At 40.9% G+C, this 21,669-nt stretch overlaps 1 protein-coding gene across 3 annotated transcripts in view; it reads right to left on the reverse strand.

Annotated features, from left to right (window-relative positions):
* The window catches only part of KCNH1 (potassium voltage-gated channel subfamily H member 1), a 455,835-nt gene that overhangs the window by 405,927 nt on the left and 28,239 nt on the right, over positions 1-21,669 (reverse strand). For all 3 annotated transcript variants that reach the window (XM_047419823.1, NM_002238.4, NM_172362.3), the window contains exons 3-4: positions 19,256-19,362; positions 6,322-6,450 (exon numbers count right to left, since the gene is read on the reverse strand). In XM_047419823.1, coding sequence (XP_047275779.1) covers positions 6,322-6,450; positions 19,256-19,362 — 236 coding nt within the window. The remainder of the gene's footprint in view (positions 1-6,321; positions 6,451-19,255; positions 19,363-21,669) is intronic.

Below are 21,669 nucleotides of genomic sequence, written 5' to 3' on the forward strand. Positions count from 1 at the left end.
AAAGTCACTTTCAGAGGCAGGCTCTACTTCAGCTTAAAATAAAGCTGAAACTGGATTCTAAAAAGCTTTTCGAGAAGAGCAGAGAGTTTATTTTTCAGTCAGTTGTGTATGTAAACATCAGCAAGGGCTCTGCACCCACCCTACTACCACCACCACCAGCGTGATCTATATACTGTGAGAACAGTGACGAGAGGGAGCTGGCAGGGCAGGTGCCCCAAACCCCTTGGTTCATCACCTGATATAACATAAAAGAATAAAAAGAAATATCCCTGGACCTCTGGTCATTTCCCTAGACTCAGGATAGCCCCTCACTCTCTGGCCTAGCCCTGATTCTCTTTGCAAGAGTGGGCTCTTAAAAGAGTGGGTTCTCAGCTGGCTGAGCAAGGGCATGGGAAGGTGAGTGGGTGTTGAAAAGGAAATGGATGAACAGTGTGAAATCTGCATTACACTTCTACCCAGCATGGGCAGGAAAGAAGGAAATAAGTTTTCGCCCAAGTTCCCAAACCCATATTTTCCTTCCTGCTCTATAGATACTTTATAATGGCAATCATGCCTCGCCAGATGAAAAAATAGATTCATTCATTCATGTGTTAATTCTATAAACATAACTACTATGTACCAGGCATGGTACTAGATACTAGAGATACTAACATGAATAAGACACAGATTCTGGCCTCAGAGAGCACACACTCTAGCAGGGAAGACTGAAAAATTAAGAAATCATGACATAGTGAGCTAAGTTCTATGACAGGGATGAGTACAGAATGCTGTGGCCAAGACTGTCAAAAGGATGCATATCTAATCCAGGCTGGGGAGTCAAAGCAGGTTTCCTGGAGGAGATGGCACTAGAGCAAAGTTTTGAACAATGAGTAAGATTTAGGTAGACTTAAGGAAAGAAAGATATCCCACACAGAAGGAACAGCACCTACAAAGGCAGAAAATTATAAAACAGGGTAATATGCCCGTGAAGAACAAGACATTCTGAATGGCTGGATAAAGGGCCATGGTTTATAAGTGGGAGGGGGATGCCAGGTGTGTCCTGAGATGATGCTAAAGAGGTTGGTAGGGGCCAAACCAAGAAGAACCTGGACAGTAAAAACCTAGAAGGTAAGTTAAGAAATTTGAACTTCATCCTGAAACCCACTGAGAGCCACTGAAGGACTTTAAATTTGGTGAGGAGGGAGATACACATGCCAATTTGCATTTTAAATGAACAGAACAACAAAGTGGATAGTGGGCTAGAAAAAAAAAAAAAAGACTGACAGATAGAAGATATGTCAGCACAACAGGCAAGAGACCATGTGGGCCTGGACCAATGCTGTGGCCTGGGCCAGGGGTCAAGGGGAGACTTGAGGGCAGCTACAGAGTCAGGACTCTGAAAAAAATAGCTACACAGGAAAAGAAGAAGCAACCTAGGAGGCTCCTGAGTTTCTGGTTTGGATGACGACTGGGGTGACAGCTAATCAATGAGATTAAAAACATAGGAAGAGCAAACCAGTTTGGTGAAAGATAATATGTACAATTTGGACCAACAGTGTCCCTTATAGCAGACCCATCAGAAGAATCACTTCTGGAGAAAGTGAAACTCCTATTGTCCAAAAGGCCAAATGGGAGCGGACAACCCAAACTGAACTTAGCTCAAAATGGTCTTGTTCAGGGGAAATCAGACAGTCATTTTCCGCATGATTCATCATCGTCCTTCAAGGAAGGATACTGACCTACCCCAGCAGACTTACCTGCTCCTTGTATTGAACCCCCACTTGCTTTAGGCAGGCATATATTAGATCATTGACTGTGCTTCACTGTTTTATTTGCTTACCTGTCTATCCCTTCTCCCAAATAGACTCAGAGGCTCTATCGCAGGTGTTTCCTTGTGTCTAGCACCTAGCACGAGGCTAGGCACCCAACAGGTGAATACAATAGGTATATTGGACAAATAAAGAACAAATATTTTTTTTTCTCTCATCACCCTACTTCTGTCTGGGTTTCCAATAGATATAAAGTCCCAAAGGATAGGCGGTCCATTTCACAAACTCTCTTCAGTTTCAGGGGATATTTCTGTGCCTGTCTTTTGCCAGGCATTTTTCTGCACCCACTCCTCCAATTATATCCCACTTGGAAGTTCAACACTGAATTGAGCTCAAATGAAGAAACCCCTAGCCCAGGATTCTTCCAGTTCTATCACAAATGTCACCAGCAAGTTAGGCATAACAGGGCTGCGGATGCCATGAGAAAATTGAAACCATACCATGATCAGGAAAATGAGAGGGGAAGTGGGCAGGAGCAGAAGAGGAAGAGTATAGAGAGAAAAAAGATAAAGGAGGGGAACATAGTACACAATCTAGCAATCAGTTAAAAGCTATTTACTGGGTCTTTTCTCCATTCTCAGGAATGGAGAAATGGCTTTTCCCCTGTCTTGACTCCACAATGGCTGGTGGGTGTCAACTTAGCTGAGCCACCAATGAGCCTGAATCTTTCTTTTTTAGGCCAGAAGAGATGGTGTTGGGATGAGTTAGAATTCCAACTCCTCTGAGAATAAGTCCAGGGGTACCAAAAAAGACAGAGGCCAGCCTTGTCCTGAGATACAGGGTCAGAAATTCAGAGGAGCTGATAGCATAATCCAAACATCCAGCAAAGAACAGTGGACACAAGGTACAGCATGGAGAGTCAGTGCAGACCACTGCCTAAGCGTCCTCAAGTCTCCTCCCACAATCTTTTCCTTACCAATGTATAAAGAACCAAAAATCTAGAATGGCTTCCTCAAGTAGCAGTCACTAAATCATCACTTTCCCACCAACCTGAGGGCAGAGACATAAAATATTAACATTGAAGGGGGTGTGGGGCCTGCAACTTGTGTCTATTACTATTTCTCCCATGTCCAACATGAAGATACATGGAGAAGGGTCAACAGTTACAACAGTTTGCCAGAGCCTTCATCCTTCAATATTCTACATCTCTGGCTCTTAGAAACCTACTCTGAAGTTTTGCATTCCTTTTGTCGTCTGTATTTGGCTCAAGTTTAACTCTGAATTTAGAAGTAAATATGTGAATCTTTGAAAATGAATTTGCTCCTTTAATATGAGATTAGTTGGTGGGATAATAGAGAAAACAAGAGGATTGACTCATCCTTTGGTGAGCAATATAAAGAGAGAAAATTCTGAGCTTTACACTCTAATTCTATACTCATTTGCCCAAACCTGCTGGCTCAGAAGACAGAACGCAACAGAAACATATCCCACAGCCTACTCCCAATTATCTATAACAAAAGAAAAAGCAAGAGAAGGAACAAATGAAATCACTGGAGCATCACAGATTCTCATTTTAGGCAGGAATTTCTACCTACTCTCTCATTCAGCCTTTAAGCATACACACACACACACACACACACACACACACACGCACACACACACACACACACACACACCCCAGAGCTGTTAGCAAACAGCAAACCTAACTTGACTTTCATTCCCTTCTCCATGCCATCTGTGGGCACTATTTGTCAGAGAGTAAGAGAATTACTGTCAAAAGACAGAGAGCAAAGTGAAGATGAGGAAGTCAGAGGCCTACCTAGCTCATAAAAAGGATGGTGAGAACTGGTACACCAAATGACAGAGGGGGCTCTGGAAGCATTTGCACGACCCATCCCCTGTGCCTGAGGCTCCGGGTAGAAGAGAAGTTACTTTGTGTCAGATCCTGAAATAGGCTACTGTCAATTATCCCATGTGTTGGACCCTTTGTGGGCGATTTGTGGGAAAACTGGGGGCACAAACTGGCTTCTTGCACACTATCAGGATGCACCCACCCCAGCCCCAAGTCCCCAAATTAGGTACTACATGATCTGAGAAAACAAAGTAATTTTAAGGACAATTTGAACACAACTGATTTAAAAGGCTAATATGGTGGTGGGAAAACATCCCATGGGACAATGCCAAAGAGCAATTATCTGGGAATTTTCTGAGATTTTAGATTATCCACATTTCCATTCCATCTCCAAAGTGAATTCTAAACAAGCCTAAGTCAGCAAGACTCTTACGACTCTTAATGGTAACTGAGGTGCTGTACTGAAAACCCAGCTGGTCTCCTGGAAACAAGCTGCTGAGAGTACATCCAAGAAGAAATGTCAAGCCAGGAGAACAATCCAGCCACATGGCAGCATACTTTCTAGGATCTAGATTTGATCCCTGTAGCCAAAACTGCAGTTTATAGACTTAAAATAACAAGGCCTAGAGAATTATCATGTGCTTCCATCATAAACACACTAATATAAAGTTTGACTTGTCCTAAGCAGACCACCAAACCACAGTGGGCCAGGGGCATGATGACATGGCAAGTGGGAAGGTTTGAACATATCTGCCATGGCATTTGAGATGATAGACTTATAAAGCCATGTCTTTCAGGAGACATTAAGCGTGGTCTACTAGCAGGATTCCTACATCGAGGACTAACGTGTGTGTGTGTATGTGTCAAATTTTTATGAATCAAGCCACAAGTTACTCCTATTTATTTCACCGACAAAAACAATTAATATCTGGTCCCCTCAGCTAAGAAGAAACAGAGTAAATGTGTGTGTATCTCCTCATGAGTGTCTGTAAGTATGTATGTGTGTGTACCAAAACTCTTATCAGCAAAGAAATGCATCATTGAGGCAGGTTAAATGAAGTGGAGCATTTTATTCCTGGAAAATAAACCTAAGTCTCACTACATCACTCTGATTTATCCCTCTTCAGGTTTCATGAGCATCGAATGCAGGCACCTACATGCCAGGTACGGAGCATTCTGTTAGGTATGATTTTCCTACTAAATAATACCAGCACATCACCTACAAATGTTCCAGTAGTAATAAAAACAAAACATTTTGATTCAACCAAATCACATAACTTAAGTTTTTAAGAGAAAAATTGCAAAAATAGGTGTCAAAATATTCAATTGCCTTCAAAATATTACTTATGAGTTTATTAGGTTAAAAAAGCAACTGGCCTTTCTATATGGTAACAAGATGGTACTTAATCATGAGTGAACCTACTGCCATGAAATAGCTACTGCACTGAGAAATCTTCAAATTAGAAACTAGAAATCTGGCAATCATGAATCTGTAAGAAAAGGGAGACTTCAGGTGGCTGAAACACTGGTTGAGAGACTTTGCATCTGCTGCAGTCTTAAAACCAAAAGGCAGGCTGAAATTGATTTATTGAGCTATCAGACAGTTTTAAAAAATAGGATGCGCTGGTATTAACAGTACTGTGCTCTGAACTCCATAAATGTGAGTGTCTAAATGTGCCAGGATTTTAAATACCCTCAGAGGACACAGCCCTTGAGAGAGCAGCCACATAATGCTTTTTATTTCCTCCTATAATGCTCATTTAACAACAAAAATTTTGTCACACCAAAAATAATATGTCTCAGTTTAACTCTCCCCTGGACTCCACTCTCATCTCTTTGCTACATCTCAGAAAACCACAAGGAGCAGAGGTCTCCAGCAGAGCTGAAAAATCAACCACAGAGCCAGGTAGCACTGCATCATGAAAAAGCTTGTGGCCTCTTGGTTATCTTGAGTGTGAGCTATGAACGAGGGATGTGAAAGAGGTGCTATGTCACCCCCTTATCCCAAACCTCTGGGACTAACATGCCATCTTTTTTATATCCTGATGAGCTGGACCTCTTCAGGGGTACGGTTGTTCCAGAAATCCTGAGCCATCTCCTTTCCTGGGTCCCCCATGTTATGCAAACAATACATGCATATGATATGGCTGAGGCGAGTGCTAAAATCTGTGATCACACAACTGTTTAAATGACCCATATAGAAATGTTACTTAGGACCCTGGCTTCATTAATGTTATGTTCCAAATGAATTAACCGGTCACAGACTTAATCAACCACAGATGCAAAGATGTGCTAAAGTCCGCTTTAACAATCTTGAAGTGCCAGAATTCAGTCAAATCTAAGAAAGTTTATATATAAAGCAGATGAATGTAGCCATAGACCACCTCATTGGTATGACTGACATTTGTTATGTGAAAACTTGAAAAGATTCTGATGATACTAGTTGCCAAACTGTCTTCTTCTGCCTAACTAATATCAGAAAGGGTTAATTATTAAAGGTATGAAATTGATTCAAATGCTTTCCTAAACAAAGTGTTTTTTCTCTCCTTCTCCTACCCCGATACACTCCAGAATAACACAGTGCTTTGCTCTATACAAATTAAAGTTAGAATCTTGAGGTTTGTAAAGTGATTGCCTTGACAACCTTAAATGCTCTGTAACAAGAGCCACAATAAAGACAAAAAAGGCATAAATGTATTTGTACAAGTCAGAATTACAAACCTTTACATGAATCATCCTCAATTGGCTGTTTGAAAGCTGTTATGTCACTGAAAGTGCAAAGAAATAAAACCACTTTATCCTGTTCGTTTCGAATTGGAGCAATTTTCACAAAGAACCACACAGGTGTCCCTGAAAGGAATATCAAAAGGTTGGTCAGTAATTTGCATTCTCATTTGAGGGGCTATGGAAGCAAAGACTTGGGAATGAATAGGTACAAATATTAATTCATTTTTTAAATGGTCTTATTAATACTTCAAGTGCTGGGTTATCACACCATAAATTTTTTTTCTTGCTGGAATAAAAACTTTCACAGTGACTATTCAGTGAGGGGTTTCTCCTGTTCAACTAATTTTCCAAGTGCTGATCTCTTAACTTGTAAAGTGGTTAGGAAATAGGTTGAGAACCCCACCAGATGTTATGGAAGAAACTTAGGTACAAAGACCTAAAGACTTACCTTAGACCACATAATGGACAGTAAAGAGTAGGGGACAAGATAGGTCCTGCCAACCATGGCCAGCAGTCCATGCCAACTCAAATTTCAAACCTCATCCATTGCTAAAGGATCCCAGGGTCAAAATCCAGTTTAGGAATCCACCAATTTGACTCACATGACCAATCACACATGGGCCAGAAACTATATTTCTTTTTCTTTTTTAGACTCCCAGGCTGGAGTACAATGGTGCAATCTTGGCTCACTGCATCCTCTGCCTCCTGAGTGCAAGTGATTCTCCCGCCTCAGCCTCCCGAGGTAGCTGGAATTATAGGTACCCACCACCATGCCCGGGTAATTTTTGTATTTTTAGTAGAGGCGGCCAGGGTGCTCTCGAACTCTCAACCTCCAGTGATCCACCCACCTTGGCCTCCCACAAGTGCTGGGATTACAGGCATAAGCCACTGCATCCGGCCCAGAAACTATATTTCTACATCCCTCTCCTTAAAATAAAAATCTAAAAGATCCAATACAATGGTAAATGACAAGGCATTGAAGAAGGAAAGGAACACCACAATAATTCCCCCATACAAAGCTCTCCAGAAAAGGAGGATTCCAAGCAGGTTTGGGCTTCGATCACATTAGTGCCATAGGAAGCTCAGTGAATGTGTTTCAATATCAATCCTTGTTCCTGAGCTAGAGTGGAGGAAAAACGAGTTCTTCCTAAGCACTGTCTTCATCCACAGAAGGAGGTAGGCAGGGCTATTCTGACTGGCTTCTCAGAGAGGATACCCACTCAGGTATCAACAGTCAAATATCTGTACAGTCACTCACTGGCTTCCCAAAAATAATTAAGGAAAATAAATAAACATCTTCTAGCCATAGAAGACATCACAGCAAGAAGCACCAATTTATTCTATGATACAAAATTAAATGAGACACAAAGCAATCCAATGTTCTTTTCTTCCTAGTTCTTATATTCCAGTTCCTACAACAGCATCTAGCAGAACTGAATAACTATTTGTTGAATTTTGCATAACTGGAATAATACTTAGCATACTATTTTATAACCATTTGCAAATCAAAATAAAGTAGCTATTTCCCCACGCTAAGTAATAGTTTCCTATGTAGCCAGCACTGTGCTCAGCATTTTACATATATTATTTTGTGAGATAGAGAGCAGAAAACTCACTGAATCTTGGAGACGAAAATAGATCCTCAAGAGGTCACCTGGCTTTCTCTGTCCACAATCACATCAAACTCTGTACTAAACACCAGGGACAGACAGACAACTCTGATTAACATTAGGCTTAGTTAGCCAATCTAGCTTGACAACAGCTACTTTACAGATTTGGCTACACCACCTATTCACATGTCAGTAGTAATAACCCTGAAATGTACAAACAGGCAGCAAGTAGACCCAACGGAAATGTGTTCTCCTTAAATCTTGATTATCTATGTATTCCTCTATAGTTAATTTTAACCTTCTTTCCATTCTCTTTGCATAATTTTTAGCTGCCAGTTTCTATGTGTTCTGCAAATACCAACAGATTATAATGTCACCTTAAGAAGTGTTTTGAAAGAAAATTCTACCATATAAAAATCACAAATAGCATTTCAAAGTCAAGAATATGACCTTTGAATTGTTCACTGTTTTTGGAAGTATGTATTACTATTCCTCCTAGTCTTTTCCTCAGAATCTGCAGGATTTTAAACCATTTTCAATTAAGCAACAGAAAACTCAAAGTAAAGTGTCACAGCAATTAAGCTTATATCCTCACAGCTCTCAATTGTACCCTATCTGTTAAGGCAAAAACACACAAATCAAAAAAAACCTTTTTTTTTTTGCTCTAAAAAAATTTCAGCATTTTTTCAGATGATAAACCAGAAAATACTGCTAATTACTCCCCACTTAACAGGTGAATTTATTTAAACTGTGTCTCTGTTGCCCAGGCTGGAGTACATCGTGAGTCAGTTCTTGTCATCTGATTTATTACTAATTTGACAGATGTATTACTAATTTGATCAATTAGTAATAAATCAGATGACAGGAACCCACTCATGATGTCTACTCCTAGAATCTCCAGAACCCTCCCCTCCCAGCTGCAGCCCTGCAGCCCATCACTGCACTGCACCGGCTGGGCCCGATGCCTGGGAACTTGCTCATTCTTCATGTTTCATTTGACTACAGGGGTGGATGACACTAAGCCACCTCTCCAAGATCATGAAAACCATTTTATTAGTCATACTGGGAGGCCTTTTTCATTTGTCCACAGTTCAAACTTATCACGAATGAACTCTCCCCTCTTAACAGGTCCATTTGTTTAAAGTGTGTCTCTCTGTCACCCAGGCTGCACGATCTCGGCTCACTGCAACCTCCACATCCTGGATTCAAGGGATTCCCCTGCCTCAGCCTCCTGGGTAGCTGGGACTAGAGGTGCATGCCACCACACCTGGCTAATTTTTGTATTTTTGGTAGAGATGGTGTTTCACTATGTTGGCCAGGCTGGTCTCAAACCCCTGACCTCAGGTGATTCTCCTGCCTCAGCCTCCCAAAGTGCTGGGATTACAGGCATGAGCCACTGCACCTGGCCATGTTCCCTGATTAAACACATACTACTCTGACCATTCCTTTGCAGTATCTAAATATATATCTTGTAACAAAAATTCATACAATCAGGACATACTGCCTTAGAGTTCATCTTGAGCTAAATATGGGGGCTTTTTGAGGGAAATGACCTCCTTTTTCGTGATCTGGTGCTTCTCTGTGGAAGAACATCTTTCAGTGTAACACTCTGGACCTTTTTCCTAGGTTGGTTGGTAATCTGGGAGACGAGAGCTGGATATGTGTAGCTTGGCCCCTTCTCTGCTTTGCTCCCCTACCCTATAAAGGGGGGAAGGCAAAAGGCAGGAAGGATGGCTGGTAGGAGGAGAAGCCTGCAGTTCTCCAGTACTACCTGTGACTTGCAGGTAACTCTGTCTGATTCTAGGGTTCACTTTTAGAAAGTCACTTGCCTACAGGTATAAACTACATCCCCCAGCATCAGCTTTATTAGTCATAAAAGTAGTATCTTATCCTCTATTGCAGTAGTCCCCAACCTTTTTGGCACCAGGGACAGGTTTCATGGAAGACAATTTTTCCATGGACTGGGGGTGGGGATGATTTCAGGATTAAACTGCTCCACCTCAGATCATCAGGCATTAGATTCTCATAAGGAGCAGGCAACCTCACGTATACAGTTCACAATAGGGTTCACGCTTCTGTGAGAATCTAATGCCACCGCTGATCTGACAGGAGGTGGAGCTCAGGTAGTAATGCTCGCTCAGCTGTCGCTCACCTCCTGCTATGTGGCCCAGTTCCTAACAGGCCATGGACTGGTAGCAGTCTGTGGCCTGGGAGCTAGGGACCCCTGCTATATTGGCCTGATTCCTTTATCTCTCTCGATTGGTTCTGATCATGGACAGGGAAGTTAAGTGTTATGTACTGGCTGCCTCAAAGCTTAACAGCTAACGACTGTTTCTTTAAATAGATCATAATACACTCCAAGGGCAAGAGACCTGATCTACTTTCTCTGTCTTACCACCGGGCACCCCTACTTCCTGGCATTCAATGTAGTATTATGCACAGGGTCATGTGAAGCCATTGCATCGCTCCACTCCAGGGAGTGCTGCACAGCAGCCTTGGTGGGTTAGGTGCTCTAGGAATGCTAAATTTAAAAAAATAAATCCTACATCCAGTGTTTTCAGTCCCAAACTATCACTACCCAAACAGTCTAAGAAAGTGAGTAGAATGGGCTTAAATTTTCGTTTCTGGAATTCTTTCAGAAGAGAACATAAGTCCCTCCTAGGTGGTACAGACCAGTATTTCAACCTTTTCCACTTAAGAGCAAAGGATTTTTATTTAATGAAATATAACTTAAAGATTCAATATATGAAACAGTTGCTTCAGGTGAACGTGAACCATCTGGAACCTGAAGCTCCACCCAAGCCAGTTTCCCTTCTACCCTCCGAGGATATTCAGGTATCCTTTGGCTCCATTCAGACACTGACTTTCCTGCAGACAGAGCTTGGGGCAAGTAGCCTACAAGGGTCTCTCCTAGAACCCAAATTCTGCAGCAGGATCCATTCCATCAAGATGCTAGAGAGGCAATAAATGCAAATATTCATATACATACACAGAAAATCAGGAAGAAGTTAAATTTCTGCCTCCTTACCCAAGTGCCTACTATGGAAAAACTGAGAAAAGTAAGCATTTGATGTCCTACTGCAAAAAGGACAACGGGTCAATGTTAAATCCTTTATTGAAGAAAGATCTATGTACACACCCAGGAACAACATAGCACTTGATAACCCTACTGATGGCAGAGGCTGCTGCTGCTGGGAGGGAGGCTTTTTCCAGGATGAGGATGTCCAATGGGAGGGCAGTTCCAGGTCAGCCTTTTTAGATCACTCTGATTTTCATCCCTTATGTAGCTCCCTTAGGTCATGTAGTAATGAACCTGACAACCTAACCTGGCTTTGAGGTTCCTCAGCCTTGGCAGCCAGATAACAAAACAGCAAGGCTCAGATGTACGAGAGAATTTTTGGCCTCCATCAATCTTTTTTCTACCCTGGGCTTCCTCCCAAGTACTCTCTGTAATCAGGCATCTGGGCATCCAGACCATATTCGACAGCAATGGAACAGACCAAGCCACTGTGATTGGCTTTTGGGAAGGGTTGACCTCTAACAGGTCCAGAAACTAGACTTGAGGATGGTAGCCTACCCCAGGAAACAGAACAATTGGTCTGGGGTCAACTTTATGGAGATGAATGACAAGTACAGAGAGGATGAGACAGCACCAGAGGGATGTAATGGCCACTGGCCATTAGAACATCTGACACTTAGTCCCAAGCCCTGAGTTTGAGCCCTTTATCTTCAGTTATTCGGAGCCTTGGCCGCATCAGTTTAACTTCTCTCACCATCAGCCTCTTCATTTGTAAAATGGGGATAACAGAGTTACTTAAAATAAAGTAAAAATACCCACATGTCTGAGACATAGGTGTTTAAAAGTATCACTTTATTTATTTATTTATTTATTTATTTATTTTTTGAGATGGAGTCTCACTCTATTGCCTAGGCTGGGGTGCAGTGGCGCAATCTCAGCTCACTGCAACTTCCACCTCCCAGGCTCAAGCGATTCTCCTGCCTCAGCCTCCTGAGTAGCTGGGATTATAGGTGCCCACCACCGCACCCGGCTAATTTTTGTATTTTTAGTAGAGATGGGGTTTTGCCATGTTGGCCAAACTAGTCTTGAACTCCTGACCTCAGGTGATCTGCCCGCCTTGGCCTCCCAAAGTGCTGTGATTACAGGTGTGAGCCACCGTGCCTGGCCCCAAAACTATCACTTTCCTTTCTTCCTTCCTTTTAAATTTCTCACCTGTAAGATGGAAATGCCCAACCTCATTTCACATGGCTGTTTGAATGACTTAAAAACAGGAAGTATTCAAACTGTTTAACAAAACCCTGAAACTGCCTCTGCCTGTTTTTAGGGAAGAGGGCCAGTCTCAAATATAACAAGGGCAAAACTAGAAAAATCAACACTTAACCCTCAACATAATTAAAATTGCATTGATGAGTATAAAACAAGACCTAAATAAATGGAGAGTTGAATTGTTTGTAGGTAAGATTCCATTTTATAAGACGTCAAACCGCTCCCTCTAATATATATATCTAATGTAATTTCAATCAGTCTCAGCTGTTTTTGTATTTGTTTTTCCTCTAACTCTGATGAATTAAAATTTAATTCAAACAGAAAAATTAAGGTGTAAGCATGGCCAATAAATCTTTGAAATTATTAGAAAGGAATATAATAACAGGGACTACCTACTATAGTAATTAAGAGTCACTGGCACAGGCCTCAAAAGAAAAACAATAAAAATAATATCATTCATTGAGTACTTACAAAGGGGTCAGACCCTGAAACATTGTGGTTTACTTCTCACAATGACTCTATAATGTAGAATAGCTACTATTATTCCCATTTCAAATGTGGGGAACCCAAGTAGGCAAGTATCCTAATCGAACTCACATAGCTAATAAATTACAAGAGGGTTCCTAGAGAAGAAGACAGAAACAAACCCACATATGTGTGAGACCTTAGCATATAAAGAAAAGGGCATTTCAAATCAGAAAGGAAAAACTGGATTATTTAATAAATAGTAATGGGACAGCTGAATAAGCAATGTGGAAAATAAGTTAGATTATTGCTTCACATAATATATAAAAATAAATTCCAAATGGTTTAATATTCTAAATATTTTAGCACAACTATAAAGTTACCAAAAGGAAAAAAAGGAAACGTATTTTTATTATTTAGGTAAGGAGAAGAACTTCCTAAGCATTATATAAAACTCAGAACCATAAAGGAAAACGCTGACATAAAACTTGTTCACTTCTAAATGGTTTTTAAAAAAAAAGTTTAAAAAGTTAAAAGAAAAAATGTTTAAATAGAGAAAAATGTTTTTCAATATGTCTATGATTTACAATCAATATTCATTACATATAAGCAGCTCCTATCACTGAATAAATAAAAGATAACCCATTCAGCAAATAAGCAAAATATGATTGCTTTGCCTGTTAGATTTGGCTCTACAACTAGACTGTAACCTCCTCAAAGGCAGAGTCAGTTTCTTACATCTATATCTCTGTGACCCACCGGGTCTGGCATAGTGCTGAGCCTACAGTAGGTAATCAATATGTACCTGGCCAGCAGCTTCTCCTTGCTAGCACAGCAGAAATGCTGTCAGATGCCTTTCCCTGGGCTTCTCTGACTGGGAAACTAACCCAGAGCTCCCAGATTCCAGGCCGCCAGCCACACCACAAATTGTGGAGTCACATGCTGGGGAGTGTTGTCTAGAGGATGTACTGACTGCTTTTATTCAGGGTTAATACTTCTTGATTTTCTTGTTTGAAAAATTGAAAAATTAATTGAGTAGCACAGGAGTGAACACAGGAATATTTACTGAATGACTTCATTAATGACAACTGTCGTTGATATAAGAAAATCAGGCCAGGCATGGTGGCTCATGCCTGTAATCTCCACCTGGGAGGTAGAGATGGGTGGATGGCTTGAGCTAAGGAGGTGAAGACCAGCCTGGCCAACATGGTGAAACCCCGACTCTACAAAAATACAAAAAAAAATTAGCTGAGCATGACGGTGTGTGCCTATAGTCCCAGGTACTTGGGTGGCTGAGATGGGAGGATGGCTGGAGCCTGGGATGCAGAGGTTGCAGTGAGCTGAGATCGCGCCACTGCACTCCAGCTTGGGCGACATAGCCAGACCCTGTCTTGAAAAAAAAAAAAAAAGAAAGAAAAGAAAATCATACAGCATACTAAACATTAGGCAAGTAACAATACGAAATATACAGCACTCCAGAAATGTCAGGTTTTCCGAATGGCCAATAGATAGAAATCTTTCAAATAATCCGTCCTTCAACATATGTAATGGTATCCCAAACACTCATTCCAAACCATACCATGAAGCCTTCTGCTAATTACTCTCAACTCCCCAAAAGATAGGACAAATATTAATGCTTATCAATAGAAGATCCTTTCTACAAAGTTGTCCTTACAAACCCTACAGAATGAGACTGGGAAAAAAAGAACTAAAACAATGTATTAAAAGCTTGTAAAAATGAGTGGGAAAATGCCTATAATTAAATAGGATATATAGGCAAAGAATCTGAACAATTAACATTTAAAAGGGTAATTTTAAATGGATAATAAATAGGAAAAAAACACTTCAATCTCACTAGCATTAAAAAGCTCATTAAACAAAAACAATTGTGGGCAATTTGACAATTTAAAAGTTATACTATTCAATGCTGGTGAGGCATAATGAGTTAGACACTCACATTCTGTATGAGGACTTGGAAATGAGTTCAGTTCTTCTGGAAAGCTATTTGGCAAAATGTCTCAGAAACCTTAGTTCACATTCCTTGACACAGCAATTCTCAACTTCTAGGAAATATTTCATAATGTCAACAAAATATATTTGTATAACAATTTTTACCTCAGCATTCTTTTTAATAATGAAAATTGAGCCTCATAAATATCTAATAATAGAGGAAACATTAATAAAATTCTTTCTAAATTATATTTATGAGGAATTTTAATAATGGGGATATTTTTGTGACAAAGACTAAATAAACATATGATTTTTAAATTGTATACAAGTCGAAATCTCCATTATGTAAAATGTACACAGACAAAAACAAAAAGGAAACACATCAAAGAGTTAATAGTATAATAGTACTTCTCTGAGTCTGTTGGGTGTTTTTTTTTCTTTATATTTTTTGCATGCATTCATCATGGTAAAAATGCATTAATTTAAAAATCAGATAAAAAATATACTTCAAGATAGTGATATTTCACTTTTTAAAATCTCAACAAGAACTTTTCCCTCATAGAACTCTATATTGCTTTAAAATGCTGAATGTTTTACTCTATTGAACAGCGAAGTTTGAAAGTAGAAGCAAACTCTACCTCCACAGATGTGAAAAGAAACATGAACCCTCCTTCCTCCCCTCCGCCCCATTTCCGTTCCCAGTGGACTCCTCTCCTCCTGCTCACTCCCTGGCTCTGACGCCCTCACTTTGCATCACATGTTGTTTCTCTCCTGTTTCTTGGTAAATATCAGGTTCCTTTCAAAATCACTCAGCAAACATTCACCTCCTCACTCCTCAATGTCAGCTCCCAGCCAGACACTAGCAAGTTTTACTTCAGGTTAAATGATGAGTTCCTGACTGGAACGCAGGGCTTCCTACTTCCTGGGCTCTGCCTGGGGCTCCCAAACTAAGGGAGGAGCCCATCACTGGACACCACTGACAAAGGCCCTGCGCTCCATCTCCTCCATAGCCCCCTGGACACCTGTCAGTTTGAATGCCTCTTCCCCTGACCAGGCCACTATCATTTTGTTGTCAGAGGGATTCCTAACAGCCCCTCTACCTCCTGCTCACTAAGCTCTATTCCATCTCCACGCTCTAGCTGGAGCCATATTTCTTTTCATTTCTTTTTTAGAAGGATTTTGCTATGTTTCTCAGGTCAGATTCAAACTCCTGGGCTCAAACGATCCTCCTCCCTCAGCCTCCAAGTAGCTGGGATTACGGGCGTGAGCCACTACCTCTGGGCTTAGAGCCCTCTTTCTAAAATGAAATCTGATGACATACTTACCCTGCTTAAAATCCCTCAACACCCCTCACCTCCACCGCCTTCTCCACCACTACCGCTTTTAAGACAGATTCTAAACTATTTAACTTGGCCGTGTGACTGGCCCTTCCTAGTCTCTCCAACCTCATATTACTTCTCATGTATTTATACACACACACACATTTTGGGAGACAGAGTGAGTCTCTCTCTGTCACCCAGGCTGAAGAGCAGTGGCACAATCTCAGCTCGTTGCAACCTCTGCCTCTGGAGTTCGACAATTCTCCTGCCTCACCCTCCCGAGTAGCTGGGATTACAGGCACCCGCCACCACACCCAGCTAATTTTTGTATTTTTAGTAGATGGGGGTTTCACCATGTTGGCCAGGCTGGTCTCAAACTCCTGACATCAAATGATCCACCCACCTCGGCCTCCCAAAGTGCCGGGATTACAGGCATGAGCCACTGCACCCGGCCCCTCATGTATTTATATATTTATTTACTCCATGAGTTTGGGTGGAGCACTTTCTATGTGTCAGGCACTGGGCTGGGTGCAAGGGGTAGAGCTCTGAAAGAGACGCACCCTGTTGGCACGGAAGTCAGTCTTCACTACAGCTGCTTTCTGTCCTTGCTACTCAGAGTGTGATCTGTGGACTAGCAGCATCAGCATCACCTGGAAGCAGAACCTCAGATCCTTTGCTAGACCCTCTACATAGAAATACACATTTCCATTCACTGGTGAGTTCTTATGCATGTCAAAGTTTAAGAAGCATTGGTTTGTGTCTCTTGAACTCTCAATGCTCTCTCTCCGCTGCAGCCCTTTTCATATGCATTCAGCCTGGGATACTCTTGGCCCTGATCTTTGTCTAACTCCCCTCTATCCTTCCAGTTTCTGCATGGCACTTATGCCTGTTAGGAAGATTTCCTTCCCTGACCCCCTAGGTTGGAGTCATGAGCCACCTATGTGGTGTCACCATCAAAGCCCTTATGGCTCTGTTCCGTGGATGCTGCCCGTTCCCCTACAGATGCTGTAAGAGCAGACACTGTGTCTATCTCTTCATACTTGCATCCCTAGCAGCAAGCCTACTGTTTGCCATAGGGTAGTGGGTCAATAAAAAGCTATTGGAAAGACAAAAAAACCATACACACACACACACAGAATCCAGTGCAACTGTATAATTTCCAGGCTTAACAAATAAGTTCAAGTTTCTTAATTCCTCAAGAGAGGGTGGGATTTGGAGGTAGTAAGCAGGTCCTAGGAAGAAAACAACATTATCTGCATCATTTCCTTAGTTTCATGGCTCATGTTGTATGTACAAATTTAGCCTTGTCCAGAGCCCCCACTGGCCCACTAGTCATCTTTGTGTGAATTAGAAAGAGAAACTCCTTCCTCAGCACAGATGCAATTCCAGACCATGGTCCATGGAGGACTCAGCAAGCAAATCACAAGCTGGTTTCCACTTCCCCCTAAGCAGGGTATAGCCTGCACGACTTCATGTGGTAGCCCTGCCTTGTACTCACAATAAAACTGAGAATGGCCGTGGAGCAAACACTGGAAACTAATCCTGGTGCTACATGACCTCAGATGAGGAATTAACTTTCAGCTGTGCCTATTTCACAGAGATTAGAGATTCACATTTTAAAATACAGTCATGCCTTACACAAAGCTTATTTTCTAAAGGTAAAAGCTAGAGTAAAAATTGTATATGACCATAATTACTCTTGAAAATGCTTTAGTATCACCCATAAAGTAGAACCTGATGCCCAGGCTGACATGCCACTTTGGAGACTCTCAATAAGCCTACCACAACCTTCAGGGAGGGAAGAAATGCTGATTCTTTGGTAGCCCATCATTTGATCTAGTTGGTTTACCTGGGTAGTTCATGTCTACCTAAAGTACAGATCTTCAAATATCAGAATCAATCACTTTCAGCATAGTAAGATCCTCATAATACAGGATCTTCAGCCCCAGAGACAGCTAGGAAAAGGCAGATTGCCCTCTCGCATCTCAAACTCACTCTGGGGCATATGTTCACTGAAACCAATGGCAAGTGAATTATTAGTGCTGCCAACGTGGAAAACTTTTAACTTATTCCATTAGTTTATGACACATGTGCAGACCATGTCTTTCCCATGAGAAAGCCACGGTTGGTATGCTTCTGGTACGAGCTGTTGCTTTGAGTTGAGTTGTGTTCCCCTATAGTGGAAAGACTGGCATACAGCCCTTCACAGTCTTTCCCTTCGTTCCTCTCCTAGCTAATAGTGGGGTGGGAACTAGATCTGCTGGCAGAGGGAGTGAACTGGAGCAAGGCAACAAATCCAGTGTGAAAGCTTTGGTAACAACCCTCTTGGGCTTGTGGATGGCCAGTGCAAATCTCTCAGACCAGTATCGGCACAGACCACCAAGCGAACAGTAATCTCAGTCACCTACTCCAATACCGCAGACCTGAAAAAAAATCCCAGCCCCTCCCAGATAAAAACAACGCATGCCCTTTACTTTCCAGGGCAAAACATATCACTCAAACCTGAATGCCACCAAATTAAACGGTTATCCTCATGTGCCATAAGGACCACCCCGGAGTTGTTCAATTGAATCAATTTCCTACCAGTCAATCCTACGTATAAAGAACAGGACTTCTTACAAAACTAGTGTTTTTAAAAAACAGAAACAAACCACTATTAACACCCATGCAGCCTTGCTAGGCCCATATGCCCTACTTTCCATACTTCTAATACAGCTAATCTCCAACAGGAAACCTCCTAAGGGAAGAGCAAGTTTTATACTTCTGTATGGCTACTGACCTAAAACCTCATTAACATACTTTGTGGAAGTAATTGTAGCCAAAAACAAATACAAATTAACAATGCATTGTTGTTAATACTGGGGACAAACTTTTATTTAGAAACGCTTAATTAGGCACCCACTGTGTTACTTGTGCTAAGTGCTGTGGAAGATAGATACAAAGATGAACTGGACAGAATTTCTGTCTCATCTTCTCCCTCCCTTGTTAAAAAGTCTACAAGGGCCTTAAGCTAGCAACTCACCATATGTAAACCAATAGGAAAAAACACTAAGTCTCAGCAACAACAATATAGATGAAGAAGGCTTAATTAGTTAGTGACAAGAACCTCATCAAATGTTCCTGTGAGAAACAGTGTAAGTGATCAATCTATATCATCCATCCCAACATACACAAGGGCTTCAAGTAACAGCATTTAGCTGGTGGGAGAGAAGAAAAACCAAGACAGCAACAGAGGAAGAGGAGATATTTTACTATTTCAAACACATAAAGGTATGGTTCAGAATGGTCTCAATACTCACTGTTCTTCTTGTACATCAGAATTTCAAAGGAATTCATCTCATAGTTCTCAAATGTTTGCCGCACTTTTTCAATCGTGTCTTTATCAGTCAGCTCCCCATACATAAAACTGCAAACAACCAAAGAACTCAAGTTAGATTAAGAAGTATTCATTATTCTACAAGCATATGTTAAATATCTGTTCTATATTCAGCACTGTGCTATGTACTGTGGAACACACACACACACAATGAAAACAATCACTGACTCAAAAAAATTTACTGATTCAACTGTGAATAAGACTTTTTCATTGTCTCCAAAAAACTAACAGTCTAATGAGAGATACACACCATAAAACAGATCAGAAAACAGTGGATTAGAGAACAGTGTGATCACTGCCACAATGGCAGCGCACATAATGAATTACAGAACACACAGAATAGGCACAGTGCACTCCCTGGTTGATCAGAGAATGCTTTCCAGAAGTAAGGACAGATTAGGTCTAAGGGGCAGGAAGGAGGGGAAATGGCTGAGAGAAAGAAGGAGAAAAACATTCCAAACAAAAGACAAGCAACTGCAAAGGCACAGAGGTGACAGTCAGATTAATTCCAGACCCTGATTATAGTTCATTTCAGTATGATTGAAATATAGACAATGAGAGGGAAATTTGCAACAGATAATATAGAGAAGTAAACAGAGGCAAGATCATGGAGGAGACCACGGCATTATAAGCCATGGGAAGTAATTTAATCTTCATCTTGAAAGCAATGGGAGCACAATGGGAGGGTTTTAAGCAAAGGAGAAACATAATCAGATTTCATTTTAGAAATACAACTCTGGGAGACTTCCTGGTAAAGATGGCTGAGTAAGTTTAGACCATAGATTTTTTTCCTTTTCTAGTTCTCAGCAAAAAAAAAATTCATTTATTTAAATGTACATGTAATTTATTAGAGAAAACCTCAGGATACTAGAAGGTCTACCTGCTAACACTAGTTCTCACCAGAAGCAAGAAAAATGCCAGGACTGTTTATTTTCCTGGGCCCCACACTGAATCTGGTCTAAAAATCATGGTTTGTCCCTCTGGGAACAGGATATACTTCCAATTAAGTAGAATGAATAATGGCACAGGAGACTAACAAAATGCCAGAGGAGGGGGAAAAAAACATCTTTCAATGGGGCTGGAATGTCCAGTTCTCTGACAAAGGCTGCCCACGGGCCCAGCCAGCATTTCCCCTGCCCACTCCAGGCCTTCAGACTGCAATAACAAGAAAGAGCAGCAATGATCACTCCTCAAGTCTTAGGTATTGCACAAACTGCCATGGGTTCCTAAATGTCACTGTAAAGTAAATATAATCTAACCTTTTTTTATGACTTGAATCACAAAAACACAGAATTTCAGAGCTACAAAGAACCTCAGGGGTTATCAAGTGCAATTTCTGATCTAAAACTGAACCACCAAGTCAAGCACCATGCTTAGCTTGATACCAGAACAGCCTTGGGCTTACTACAGGCTTCCAAATTCTGGTACCCAATAAGAAGAGAGTCCTAGCTGTTGACTTTGTGAATTCCGTATCACAGTTGTTATCTTATGTCCCTTCCCAGCCCTCTGAGGAATGTGATTATCTGTGGTTGTCCTTACGCACTCATGTAGTTCTCTGCTTTGGGGCTGTACTCTTTGTCTATAAGCCAGGAAACGGAAAACTGAGCTTGTTAAATTATCTCTAGAAAGAAGAATAGATCAAGACTAATTTAGCCCTGCCTGAGAATAAGAGGATTTTTCCTCTTTCTCCTTGTGAGTTAATTTTCTAGATAACTGACCTCCATTTAAATGAAGTGATGGTATATATGCAAGCAATTTCCTTAACAAGGTAAAAGAAATCCCTGTAAAGTTGAATCTTCAAATAAATGAAGTACTATAATTATACCTAGTTTTCATTCATCTTATGTACTTTTTCAGGCTGTAGATTACCAGTAGTTCTAAATTTCCTTTACCTGGATCTCAGATTGCAAATGCTTACAACGCACAAAATAAATAAAAGAGACTCCTGAGCTATCAGGAACATAGCTAGCACAAAGGTATGTTCATTTATAGAGAAGGGATACCTTCGGGTAATTCAATAAGTTGCTAAAAACTGTGCATAAAAGAAAAGTTGGTTAAATTAGCAAGTTATTTTATCTGATTTCCTTAAAGTGTTTGATTATAGCCAATAAGAAAGGTAAGGAAAGGCTGTTCAAGTCACACTAAAAAGTGAAGCTATGTCTCTCAAATTGTTCTGATTATATATGTGCAGGACAGATAGAGATGTAGATGCAGACAAATAGATCTATAAATACCTAAGAGGATAACAGCACACAAAGAATGTAAGATAATTCTATTACATTAAGAATTATAATGTCTAAACCTTTGAACATTTGAGGGAAGAATCTTCAATTTTCT

The sequence above is a fragment of the Homo sapiens genome, chromosome 1, assembly GCF_000001405.40.
Source record: "Homo sapiens chromosome 1, GRCh38.p14 Primary Assembly".
Lineage (NCBI taxonomy): Eukaryota > Metazoa > Chordata > Mammalia > Primates > Hominidae > Homo > Homo sapiens.